We start from the raw sequence: 13,031 nt of genomic DNA on the forward strand, positions 1-13,031 counted from the left end.
TTAAAACACTAGCTTGCTTCTCCTCTAATTTAGATTCAGTTAGCATTTGCAGAGCATCTACGAGTGCCAAGTACTTTCACATTCTTTCTTTCATGTAATGCTTACAAGAAACAGGGATGTTTGCTATGATTGTCTACATTTTGCTAAAGGGAAACAGGCACCTGAATTTAAAGAATTTACCCAAGGTCACAAAGTTAGTAAGTAGAAAAGAAGGGATTGAGACCTGGGTCTGTCTGACGCATTGTGTTCCCTCTAACATAATCTACAGTGTCTGTGTGTGGTGTTACAGTGTTGAGACATCATTTAAACTCATGAATCATAAATCATGCTACTAGAACTATAGACAATAGACTGGATACTGACTCCTAAGAACAATAAACAAAGATATTGATTCTGCTGTGATGACAGAAATCACAACACAACAACACAAGAATGCATAAATCCTGCCATGACCTCTCTTCCCAGTGGGGTTCCTCACCACAGGAAATATACACAAGAAACTAGAGGGGCTTGAAAAATGCAGTTGAAGGTTATGGCTCAGACCTGTCGGCCTACACTAAGCTTCCTCCTTTCTCTCCTTGAAATAAAGATAACCAGGCCCTGAGACTACTTAAACAGAATCCTACCCTCTTTGGAGAGTCATCAGAACATAAGATAGTGATCTTCTCTATCACAAGGCACAACAAGATTTTACATAATAATTCTGACTTTGTACAGAAGCTTCAGCTGAGACTCCAAGATTTGTAAGAAGTCAACAGAAAGTGTGTCCATTGCCCCAGAAAAATGAGTAAGTGCTTATGACGGGGATCCACCGATATCCATGTCCTCTGCCTCTTCTGGTTACACTGCTGGACTACATTTTATAGTCTCCTCTTCCATGTAAGGGAGGCCTGATAACTAGCTTTCAGCAATGCAACGTAAGTGAAAGGAACTATCTCACCAACCAGCCATGTCAATTAAAAGGAAAGTTATCTTCCTTGTATCAGTGAATTATTTCTATGAAACAAACCACCCCAAACGTAGTGGCTTAAAATAACAACCATTTATTTATATCATAATTCAGCAGGTCAGCAACTTAGGCCAAGCTTGTTGGGTGATTCGTCTAGTCTTGTCATGGCTCCCTTTTGTGTCCACAGTCAGAGGCAGGTCAGCGACCTTCTCTCCTTCTGGAGTTTGGCTAGCTATAGGCTGGGGTGACTGCACAGCTGGCCACGTGTCTCTCATTTTCCAGCAGACAAATCCAGGCTTGTTCATTTGGAAGTGGCAGGATTTGAAGAAAAAGAGCAGAAATGTGCAAAGTTTCCTGAGTCCCAGGCTCAGAACCAACACAATATCATTTTTAACCACACTCTATTGGTTTTAACAGACTACCAAAGGAAGCCATGGCACAAAATAAGACCATTCACATAGAATACAGCAAATACACTAGTGAAAGAAGTCTAGATACTGAGCAACTACACAGAGCAGAGCTCCTCTACAACCACCAACATATTGACCACTTTCGTCAATGACATGACCATTTAAAGCCACTGAGGTGTTTGTTATAGCATTTAGCCTATGCTGACTTGGCTCACTAAGCCACCAAACTCATTCAGCCCATCTTTAACATCCAGCTTACGTGAAAGAAGATTTGTGTTAATTAAAGGGGGAATCATTAGAGAAGATTCTTGCCCCTCACCTACCCCAAAACAACAGACGGAGTTCCCAAAAACTAATTTTTGGGGATTGGCATTGTCAGATAGGAGGAACAAGTTGAAACTTCCTCCCTGGCTGAAGGTTTGCACAGCCAGAGAATCTTGTGATGAGGCTGGAATGTGAGAGAGCTGTTGGGAGAAATGGACATGGTTTCCCTAGAATCTGGGGAGACATGAACGTGAAGGGCTAGCTGGAGCACCACCTGAGGGCAGAATAGAAATGGACTGTACCTTGAGAATTTAGTGGATCAATGAAGCCAATTTTTCATGTGGACCCTATGAAGTTTAGTCCACGCTTAAGCTATCTTGAGAGGACCTCATCAAAGACACTGCCTGTGTCCCCAGCCATGGAAATCTTCATACTTTGTTTTAATGAGAGTAGACATATCTGAGGACAAGAGATCTTCTGAAACCAGATGAGTTTGGCCACACATTCTCTGCGTTTTGCATCTTTCTGAAAGCATTCCTTTGAAAATTTTTGGTGTTGGTTAATAGGGTGATCATCATTCAGGAGGAAAATGTTCAGAGAGGGAGAACAGATGCAAGCATGTGACTCATCCCATGAAGCCAAAGGTATGCGAAACACCCAGACTCAGAATTAACTGTGACAGATGGTGCCTAAACATCTGCCTCCGGTAGGAACCAGACTACTGCTCCACCTGCTACTAAGAGAGCTTGCAATCATCTCCCCCAATACCCTTCTCCCCAGGGAAGCCTTCTCATCCAGCAAACTCCTCTCCACTTGCCTCCTTCACTGTTTTTTCCTCTTTTGAAATCATAACCCCGTAATCACACCTGTCCTCTGGGGCTTCCATTCCCCTGTAGGGCCATCTGACTTTCCATATGTGTGCTTCATCTCCTTTCTGAAAAATGTGGCTTAGTATTTCAACCCTCCTCAACATGGCACCAAGAGTATATCTACTTTGTTCTGTAGTTCTTGAAGAGCCTTAAATCTAAACCATGACATCAGCCAGAGTTTATAGGATTACTTGATAGTTTGCAACGAAAGTCATACTCATTGACAATAATAACAACAACATACATACCAATTGCTATATGCTGGGCCTATAAGGTATTATTTTCTCTACTTTATTGATGCAGAAACTGAGGCAGCAGAACTGTAAAAGGACTTGTAAAAGTTCATACAGTAAGTATATGGCAGAGCCAAGATTCAGGGCTGCCATGTATGGCTGTGCAGGTTATGCTTTGCACTGTATCAGGAGGTACCATTTGCCTCGGCTGATATACAGCCTGCACAACACTACACACCAGAATCTGAATGTAGGCAGACTGTCTCCAAAGTTCTTACGGACTCTCTAACAAAGGGAGTTAAAGCATAGCATAAGATTTATGTATGAAGACCTTCATCACAGAAGTGTTTATCCTAGCAAAAAAAAAAAAAAAAAATATTGAAGCAACAATAGAGGAATGACTAAGCTAATTACATTTAGGCCACTTCACAAATAATTTTAAAACTATTAAAAATAATGTACAAAAATGATGTAATATTGAAAGATACCTTAAATTATAGTGAGGGATGAAAAGAATCAACATATGAAAGTCAAAAACAGAAACACACCACCCACCTTGAGCTCCTGAGATGATACTATACCTTCTGGGACCAACTGAATACCTTCTGACAAGTCAATTATATTTTACTCCTGTCATCATGTGCAGGAGAGCAACTAGTCCTCAATGGAATAAAAATTGTTTCTAGCTGAAGTTTTCTTTTCCTGACATCATGCTTGTTCCTGCAAATCCACGATGTCCAATCAGGGTATCTCAAACAACATTGCGCCTGGCAATGGAACTCACCTCAGAGTAAAAGAAAGCAGGTAATGACTAATACCAATGGAATTTACCAGGCTTACCATTACTTCATTATCCAGAAGTAATTAGCCTTACAGACCAAGCAAAATATTTGCTTTCTCCTTCAGATCATAAAAGTATTACACTAAAAATTATTTCCAAAACTTAACTCCTCCATTTCTGACCTGGATAAGATGGCAGACTCTTGCCCTCTCTAGTCCTCTCCACAATGCACAATAGCAAACTGTAGAGACTAGCCGTACACGGTCTGTGGGTCTTTCTCCCTGTGTGCGGAGAGGAGAGATCATAGAAATAAAGACACAAGACAAAGAGAAGAAAAGACAGCTGGGCCCGGGGGACCACTACCACCAAGACGCAGAGACTGGTAGTGACCCCGAATGCCTGGCTGAGCTGTTATTTATTGGATATAAAGCAAAAGGGGCAGGGTAAAGAGTGTGAGTCATCTCCAATGATTGATAAGGTCACGTGAGTCATGTGTCCACCGGACAGGGGGCCCTTCCCTGTTAGGTAGCCCAGGCAGAGAGAGAGAGAACAGCTTACGTCATTATTTCTTCTATGCTCTTTTCAGAAAGATCAAAGACTAATACTTTCACTAATTTTGCCACTGCGATCTAGAGGGCGGAGCCAGGTGTACAGAGTGGAACATGAAAGTGAAACAGGAGAGTGACCGCTGAAACACAGCATCACAGGGAGACGGTTAGGCCTCCGGATAACTGCGGGTGGGCCTGACTCCACAAGAGGTGGTGGAGCAGAGTCTTCTCTAACTCCCCCGGGGAAAGGGAGACTCCCTTTCCCGGTCTGCTAAGTAACGGGTGCTTTTTCTAGGCACTGACGCTACCGCTAGACAAAGGTCCGCTAGGCAACCGGCGTCTTCCCAGGCGCTGGCGTTACCGCTAGACCAAAGAGCCCTCTAGTGGCCCCGTCCGGGCATAACAGAAGGCTCACACTTGTCTTCCGGTCACTTCTCACAGTGTCCCTTCAGCTCCTATCTCTGTATGGCCTGGTTTTTCCTAGGTTATGATTGTAGAGTGAAGATTATTATAATATTGGAATAAAGAGTAATTGCTACAAACTAATGATTAATGATATTCATATATAATCATATCTATGATCTATATCTAGTATAACTATTCTTATTTTATTTATTTTCTTTATTATACTGGAACAGCTTGTGCCCTCGGTCTCTTGCCTTGGCTCCTGGGTGGCTTGCCGCCCACAACAAACATTGCAAAAATAACTCAAGAGACAATGAAAGGGGAACTCTGAGAGGTAGAAGACGAGGGTGCATCGGTTTGAGACCCCAGGCAGGACTGGAGAAGCGACACAGTGTCAGGGCATCCTATGTCCTTCCAACCTACAAAAGAGGTGATCCAGGTCAAGCATTTTCTGATCTGAGCCTAGCAACAGAAGGCAGCCCAGGTAGGCTAAGGTCTCCCCCACATTGAATAGGAGTCTACCTATACCACCACCTGAGCCCAGCAAATAGGGTGGATCAGAAGCCCACTTACATACTAAGGGGCCAGGGAAGCTTTCTTCTTCCCTGATGGGCCTGAGACTCTCCTCCTCCTCCACCCAGAGACACCATGCAGTTGGAAGGCACCAGAAAGGGAAACACACCAAAATAAGAGAGCGTCATGACTAACTGAATTCGTTTTGCAGACAACAATGAAAAAGAAAATCCAAAAAGAAATAAATTTTTTGAAAGCATTTACATTGCCATCAGACACAAGAAGGTCCTGTCAGGCATGGACAAAGTCTATACAGTCATAACTCATGGCCTAGAGAGCCCTTGGAATGTACAGCTACAGACAGCTACAGATACCCCATATCCTTGCCCCTAGGGACATCAGGAAACAGGGTTTCATCTGCCAGACTGTGGTGACCATGACTGAGGATTACTTCCCTTCAATCCCCTCAGAGACAAAATGAAATGAAGGGAAAGTCATCCCTGACTTTGTTTAAAACACAGCATCCTACACAGGTTTTACAAACATCTTATTTTTTACGACCTTTTTCTGTTATTTCATTTTTAAGAAACCCACCGCTCACCTATTCATCCCCTGAGAGAAGCTTATTTAAAGCTCATGAGAAAGCAGAGAACTATTTCACAACATTGAAGCAAAATAATCTGACTGAACCAAGCTTTCACAGGGGAACTGGGGAAAGAGTGAAGAACCAAGCAAAATAGACGAGTCAGGAGACTAAAGTTGTAAAATAGTTTGGTTTTGAATTCTTATTTCTAGTTTTTCCAAAGTAGCATTATAACTAAGAGATTTTCCTCTAAGTTGCTATAAAAAGCAAAAGTGGGCCCAGATGTTACCAGGGAGCTGTCAAGGCTCTCCTGCCTCAAGAAACACACCTTACCCTTCCTAGAGAATGACTTTGGGAAGAGGTCACTCTCAGAGTATTTACCAAGAGAGAGAAGGAAGTCAGTACTCCACAATTCTCCTGGATTTGTAATCCCTTGCTCTTCTGCTGGCTTTTAATTTCTATCTGGATGGCCTACTATGAGGCTGCCCTGACCAGATTCTTCCCCAGAACAAGGAGCTTTCAGTAAGTGAGAAGAGAGGAGTGACGAATCACACTCCACTTTCAGAGTGTCTTGTTATGGAAAATTTTCTTGCATCGCATCCGAGAGCATTAACATAAAATAATTGCACTAGGCCGGGCGCAGTGGCTCATGCCTGTAATCCCAGCACTTTGGGAGGCCAGGGCAGGCAGATCATGAGGTCAGAAGATCGTAGCCATCCTGGCTAACATGGTGAAACTCCGCCTCTACTAAAAATACAAAAAAAATTAGCCAGGTGTGGTGGTGGGCACCTGTAGTCCCAGCTACTCGGGAGGCTGAGGCAGGAGAATGGCGTGAACCCAGGAGGTAGAGCTTGCATTGAGCAGAGATGGTGCCACTGCACTCCAGCCTGGGTGACAGAGCGAGACTCTGTCTCAAAAAAACAAAACAAAACCAACCAAACAAAAACTGCATTAATGTTAGAAAGAACTTATGAGAACATTGTAAAAGTATCAGTAGAGCACACATTCATTCATTTCTTTAACAAATAAGTATTGAGCAACTTCTACATGCCAGATATTGTCCTAGCCACAGGAAACACAGCAATAAAAGAAAAAAAAAATCCTGCTTTAGAAGGCTTACATTGGAGTGAGAAGAAACAGACAAATAGTTATCGGCATCTGACCATAAGGTAGGTTAAGGAAGAATAAAGTAGATTAAGGAAGACAGAATTAGGAATATAGGGAATGAGAATACTGTTTTAAATGCTGAAAGATAATCTTTCTGAGGAGGTGACCTTGAGTAGAGACAGAAAGAAATGAGGGGAAAGTATGCAACAAATGTGGAAGAAAAGCACTCCAGACAGAGAAAAAGCGCATGGGAACATGCACGTTCATGGAGAGTGAAGAGGGGAGGGTGGATGAAGAGTCGTGTGCTGGCAGCGAGAGCAGGGGTGGTGGGAGCAGCCCACAGAGCACCTATGGCCAATGGAAGGATCAGACTTTCACTGTGTGCAATATAAGAAGCCACTGGAGAGTTTTGAACAGAACAGCAACATCTTCTGGTCCACGTTTCTAAAGGGTCATGTGGATTGCTGTTGCAGGATAGGTGGTGGAAGGGGCAAAACCAGGTAGGAGGCTATTGCCACAGTCAAGACCAAAGATGGGGGTGGCTTGAATCAGGATGGGAGCAGTAGAGATGATGAGACATGGTCAGATTCTGAACAAATTTTGTAGGTAGAGCTGACATTATTTGTTGATAAATTGGCTACATGGACTGTGAGTGGGAAATAGGAATCAAGGCTGACCCCAAGACTGCTGACCCAAAAAGCTGATAGAATTTACTGAAAAGCAGAATACTGCAACAGAAGTAAATCAGAGGTAGGTATGAAGCGAATTAAGAGTTTGATTGGAGATGTATTCAGTTTGAGATGCATGTTACACGCCTCAGTGGAGCTGGCAAGTAGGCAGTTGGACTTAAAAGTTGGACACTTACAGGAAACGTTAACTGCTGAAGTTACTTTTGGAAGTTATTACCCAGATAGCTGGTACTTGAGCCATGGAAGTGAAGTTTACAAAGACAGAAATCTTCTTGTTAAGGCCCCTTGGATTTCAATAATCTACCAGATTTGTGCAATAGTAGACCAAATCAAAAATAAATAGAACAATAAAAATCTGTCTCTGGAGCCTACATAGTCAAAGTAGAAAAGCCTTTGGACCTTTAAGACTTGCAGTTTACTAGCTCTGTTCAAGTAATTCAATGACCACAAAACATGTGTGAGCATATGAGGATGCCCAAAGAAGGGAATTTAGACCAAGATCATAAAAAAGTTTTCATAGAATACATCAAAAAGACATCTGATACACACACAAACACATACACACTAAATGCAAGATAGATAGAGGTAGATATAGACTTACCATGGACATTTATGCTTAATTATCCATAAGGAATAGAATCAAGTTCCATTAATTTTTTTCAATTCTTTCTCTAACTCAAGACTTTCAAACCTCCTCTCTCTTTTGTTGTCCCTTCCTTGCTCATCTCAAATCAAAATCACAATTTATAAGATCACTCTTACCAAACCAAAGAGACTTGGGGGGAACAGTAATTTTTATGAGCTAACTTGGGATCTGTTATCATTTTTAACAGATGACACTTGATTTCTCACCTGATGTACTAAAGAATGGCAGAACGAAAGCCTCTAGGGAGAAAATGAGATTTTCATAACTTAAACACTAAAAACAACAGCCCCATAACACTGAATGTCATTATCAAGCAGCGAACACTCTCGCCTCTCTTGTCAACTGTGGTGTGCACGAGATGCCTTTCAGAAGGCCACACGTTCGTTTACACTCATGCCTACCCACCACGCCACCCCCATCACAATCAGACACACACACACACACACACACACACCCCACCAGCAATCATGCTATTACCTCTGGCACACTTGGAAAACATGTGTCAGAGCTAGAACCTTCTCTTGTCACATTATCATAAATTACTGCACAGGATATGAGTCTGTGGTTGCAGACCATTTTTTTCCTTACGTGGTGAATTTGGCCAGAACTGGTGAGAATAATGAATGCAGCTGTACATCCAATGTGCAAGGAGGATAGATATTCAGACCCAGGGTGAATTAGAGAAAGAAAAATCCCCAGCAAGAGGGACGACCCAGCTCACTCAAGCTTTGTCAGTCACTGTTTACTTCATGTTCACCCATAAAATAGATAATGACAATATTTTCCTATATATTTCTAAGCTGCTGGTCTCTGGGGAAGTCTAAAAGTTCACAGTGGACTTAAAAATATGTACCAAATCTTTAGCAGACAATAAAAGAGATGTGGAATCAGCATTTTATCAATCACTGGATTAGACCTTCCTACACCCCAGGCAAGGGACTATTTGCAAGGCTACCAAAAAGCAATGAGCCTTGTCCTACTCCACTGTTTTGTCCTTAAATTCTGTTGTAAGTCTTTTGGGGGAAGCTTTACCTCCGGAATCTTGTCGTGGAGTATTCTAGAGGGGAAAAAGACAGCATAGCACACCACACCACACCAGACTACACAAACTCACCTCTCTCTCTCTTCCTACCCCACCAAGCCCCTTCTTCAGTGCCTTCGGGAGGGCTGCCTTTCTTATCCTAGCATGGCCTGGAATTAGCAGAATACAGGATTAACACTTTATGTGCTAGGCTTCAAGAAGAGTTTCAACACCCACGGTGCATGTTAGAGTTTGAAAATGCCTTCATGCCCTTTACCACAGTGAATACTTCCAACAAGTCTCTGGGAGAAGCAATGTGGGCATTATTCTCCCGTTTCATAATTGAGAAGGGAAGGCTCAGAGTTAAGGCAGCACAGAGGCCAAGGTAGGAAAAGGCTGGCAGCAGGATATGACCTGGAGGCTCATGAATTGAGGTCCACCTGCAGGAACTATATTCACTTGTCTTTCTCTATAGGAAAAGATTCTGGTCTCAGGCAGACCCTACTGCCACTCAGACAAACTTATTAATTCCTCTAAGCCAATTCATTCATCTCTAAAGTTAATTTATTATACCTGCAAAGGCAGTTATGATTAAGGAAAATGGAGAATAGAAAGCACCAGGACCAGGACCGAGCATGTGTTCTGGGGATGTTAGTTTCCTATGTGTCTCTTCTCCACTCCTCCTGCCCCAGCTACAATCCTCACAACACTATTACCATTACTATAATTGTTACTTTGATGTGATTACACCTAACCTGTTCTCTGTGCTTACTACATACCAGCCACCCCATACTTAATTCTTGCCACAATGCTATGAAGTACCACTATTATCCACCTTATTTGAAAGCCTGAAAAAAAAACTGATTGACAGGACAGTTGTACAGAGTTGAGAATCCTTCTCTGGTCTGAGTCCCATGTCACAATCTCAGCCACTTTGGAACACTGCCTGGATGCTCAGGCCTCCTGCTCAGCCCACTTGTTCTCACTAGCTTTGAACGTCTGCCCTCTCCCTCTCCATTCTCATGCCCTGGTTCTCACCTGACCTAAACAACCTTGTAACTAGATTAATAAACAGCTTGTAGGACCTGGCCCCTGGTGCCATTCACGTCTCTCACCTAGGTTTGTCAGATATAGTAAAGAAAAATATAGAACTCCCAATTAAATTTGAATTTCAGATAAATAACCATGTTTAAGTATAACTAGGTCCCAAATATTACACGCTATGCAGACTTGCGTGAGACATATTTGTACTAAAAATTATTCATTATTCATCTGAAATTCAAATTTACATTGGTATCCCATATTTTATCTTGATAACCCTAGGCACTTCCCAATCCCCAGTAGACTCTGCTATTCTGTGTGTCCCATGTCTATAAACCCTGCTGTAGTGGTTATTACATCAGTGGATTTTGAAAAATCACACCTCTATTATTCACAGCTTACAGAGTTCCCTCCCTTTGAATCTCAACTAATTTATGACTTGCGTTAGTAAAACTGCAATGGCAGAGTCTCTTCTAAGCCTAGGTTTTAAGAAGCCCTAGAAAATAGTACTGGGGCATGTATATCAGCTATCTATTGCTGCATAACAATTTCTGATTTTGCACTCTTATAATCTCTGAGCTCTCAAATAAGAAGTCTTACTACTCTGCTGGAAAGACTATATGTATTACTTTACTTCACAAGGTTTTTATGAAATGCAAATGAGAATGGGATGATTTAGATCAGCTTCCTCAGGAGTAGAACTCAAGACCAGGACACACACACACATATATATGTTATATATGTTTAGAACGTGGGGTGGCGGGAATCATTCCAGCCTTTCACACATTGCAGTCAAGACACATCTTTCAGCTTTCTCTCACTTGCAGCTCAGAATCGTGTTGTATAGCAATAGACTGAGACTCTCACGCGTGCAGGGAAATCCACCCAGGACCCAGGAAGAAAAGGGAATATGAATCACTAATACTCTCTAGTGGGCTATGGCCCACTAATCCCTCAGTTTCTTCTCCAGCAGCTCCTTATTAGACCAGGAGAGTCTCCCTCACCCCTGTCTTACTTGCAAGACAGGAAGTAACTAAACAAGGGACAAGGGGACAAGGTGGGAAGTGTTGGTCACATCCATTCTAGGCACTCAGCAGTTTCTTGCCCCACTGAGAGGCACTGGTGTCATGTACTCTAGTGGCTGAGTTTTTGTACCAAGAGGTGTTTTTTTTTTTTTTTTTTTTGAGATGGAGTTTCACTCTTGTTGCCCAGGCTGGAGTGCAATGGCACCATCTCTGCTCACCACAACCTCTGCCTCCTGGGTTCAAGCAATTCTCCTGCCTCAGCCTCTGGAATAGCTAAGATTACACACATATGCCACCACATCTGGCTAATTTTTGTATTTTTTTTAGTAGAGATGGGGTTTCTTCATGTTGGTTAGGCTGGTTTCGAACTCCCGACCTCAGGTGATCCGCCCACCTCAGCCTCCCAAATTGCTGGGATTACAGGCATGAGCCACTGCACCTGGCTGAGAGGTGCTCTTAACTCCCACTCTGTACAGGGAGAGTGGCTGGGCCTAGACATTTCTCTCAGGAGCAACCTCCCTCCCAAAAGCTGGACCAGACCTCTCATATCTTGGGAAGAGTTGGTGCCCAAATAAAGGATCTTTAAGAACCACCTGGCCTAAGCTAGCACATAGTTCAAAGGAACGTTCTGCCCTCAACAAGGAGGAAAGAAAGGGGTCAACACAAATCTGGGGCCAAGGGGCCTGAGGAAATCTACTGTCTATTGAGAATATGATATAGGCCATGATCTCTATTATTTATGATTTTACAAACTCATTTTAATGGCTGGAACCAAATATCTTATGAAAAAATAATTTTTGCTTAAGGAAAATACTTTGCTAGACTGCGTTGACTGGAGAAATTAAAACCCCAAAAGTTTGGTGCATAAGAAGACAAGGAAATTAAGATAACTCAATTGTTCTACCTAATAAATTAAGTTTTTGGAGATTGGAGTAAAGATGGGATGAATCTGAAATAGGGAGAGAGAGAAGATGTAAGTCTAGGAGTCTACTCCTCACTAGGACTAATGTTAATCTATTAGTCTCTTTATCTTTAGTCTCTTCTCACAGGGATGGCTTCTACCCCTAATGTTGTAAAAATGACCATCCCCCTCCTAAGAAATTCCTGCCCAGCCCTGCTTCCACTTTAAGTCTTAGCCTTATGTTTCCTATTCACTTCCCACTGGAGCTCCTTGAGTCACCCCTGAGGTGGCCCAGGCTCTGGGCTTCATTGTATCTGGCCAGGATGCCTAAGCTGCCCATCACCCCTAAGCACTGTCAGGAACCCCACAGTCAAAGGCTCTGCAGAGTCAAGTAGCCTCCCACTTATCCAAGTCCTCATCTGTCACTCTTGACATCTGATGAACTTCCAAAGATGCCCCAGTTATCAATGAACAGGGCAACTGCCTCCCACCTCTAACATCACACCAGGCTGAAGTATCCATAAAGGCCTGTCTTATCTACTTTCAACAGCACCGTGAGAAATGACCCATGTCCAAGGCCCCCTATAGACAAGCAGACTGTGCCTATCTTCCTGCTGACTCTCTAGTATTGAGGATTTTTTTTATTCTTCTTTGCTTTAAAATGAAGTGTTTATAAAATGTTGCTAAACCCAGGACTGTAAGCTACTTGAGAACATGAAATGTGTTGTTTCCATCTCTGCCCCTGCTACAGCCCTCATGCTGTCAGCAAGTGATGCTGCTTCCAGGGCAAGCCAGGGTTCTTGCCCTGTTCTGAGTAACTGGAGTCACTGATCAAATTGACATCTTCTAAATTATAGTTCCATCTAATGGTGAGAATGTGGGGAAATGGGCATGACCAAACACCACTGGTGTCAAGTGAATTGATCTACTCTCTGTAGAGGTACTGGCAATAATAATCAAGAGCCCTGGTGTCCATGCCTTTTAATCATATAATTTCACTTTGGGAAATGTACCTAGAGGAAAGTACGAAGCTTCATGTGTAAGAA

The 13,031-nt window shown here is 42.7% G+C and overlaps 2 annotated features.

Moving 5' to 3' along the window:
• Window positions 671-965: a silencer, noted in NCBI's record as "tiled region #4328; HepG2 Repressive non-DNase unmatched - State 24:Quies". NCBI's record gives its function as "represses a minimal TATA promoter and a strong SV40 promoter by Sharpr-MPRA in HepG2 cells {active_cell/tissue: HepG2}" and the evidence as "EXISTENCE:reporter gene assay evidence [ECO:0000049][PMID:27701403]".
• Window positions 12,350-12,538: a silencer, noted in NCBI's record as "fragment chr15:45084988-45085176 (GRCh37/hg19 assembly coordinates)". NCBI's record gives its function as "represses an EF-1alpha promoter that drives an FKBP-Casp9 reporter gene in an ReSE screen in HepG2 liver carcinoma cells {active_cell/tissue: HepG2}" and the evidence as "EXISTENCE:reporter gene assay evidence [ECO:0000049][PMID:32094911]".

The sequence above is a fragment of the Homo sapiens genome, chromosome 15 (assembly GCF_000001405.40).
Source record: "Homo sapiens chromosome 15, GRCh38.p14 Primary Assembly".
NCBI classification, from domain to species: domain Eukaryota; kingdom Metazoa; phylum Chordata; class Mammalia; order Primates; family Hominidae; genus Homo; species Homo sapiens.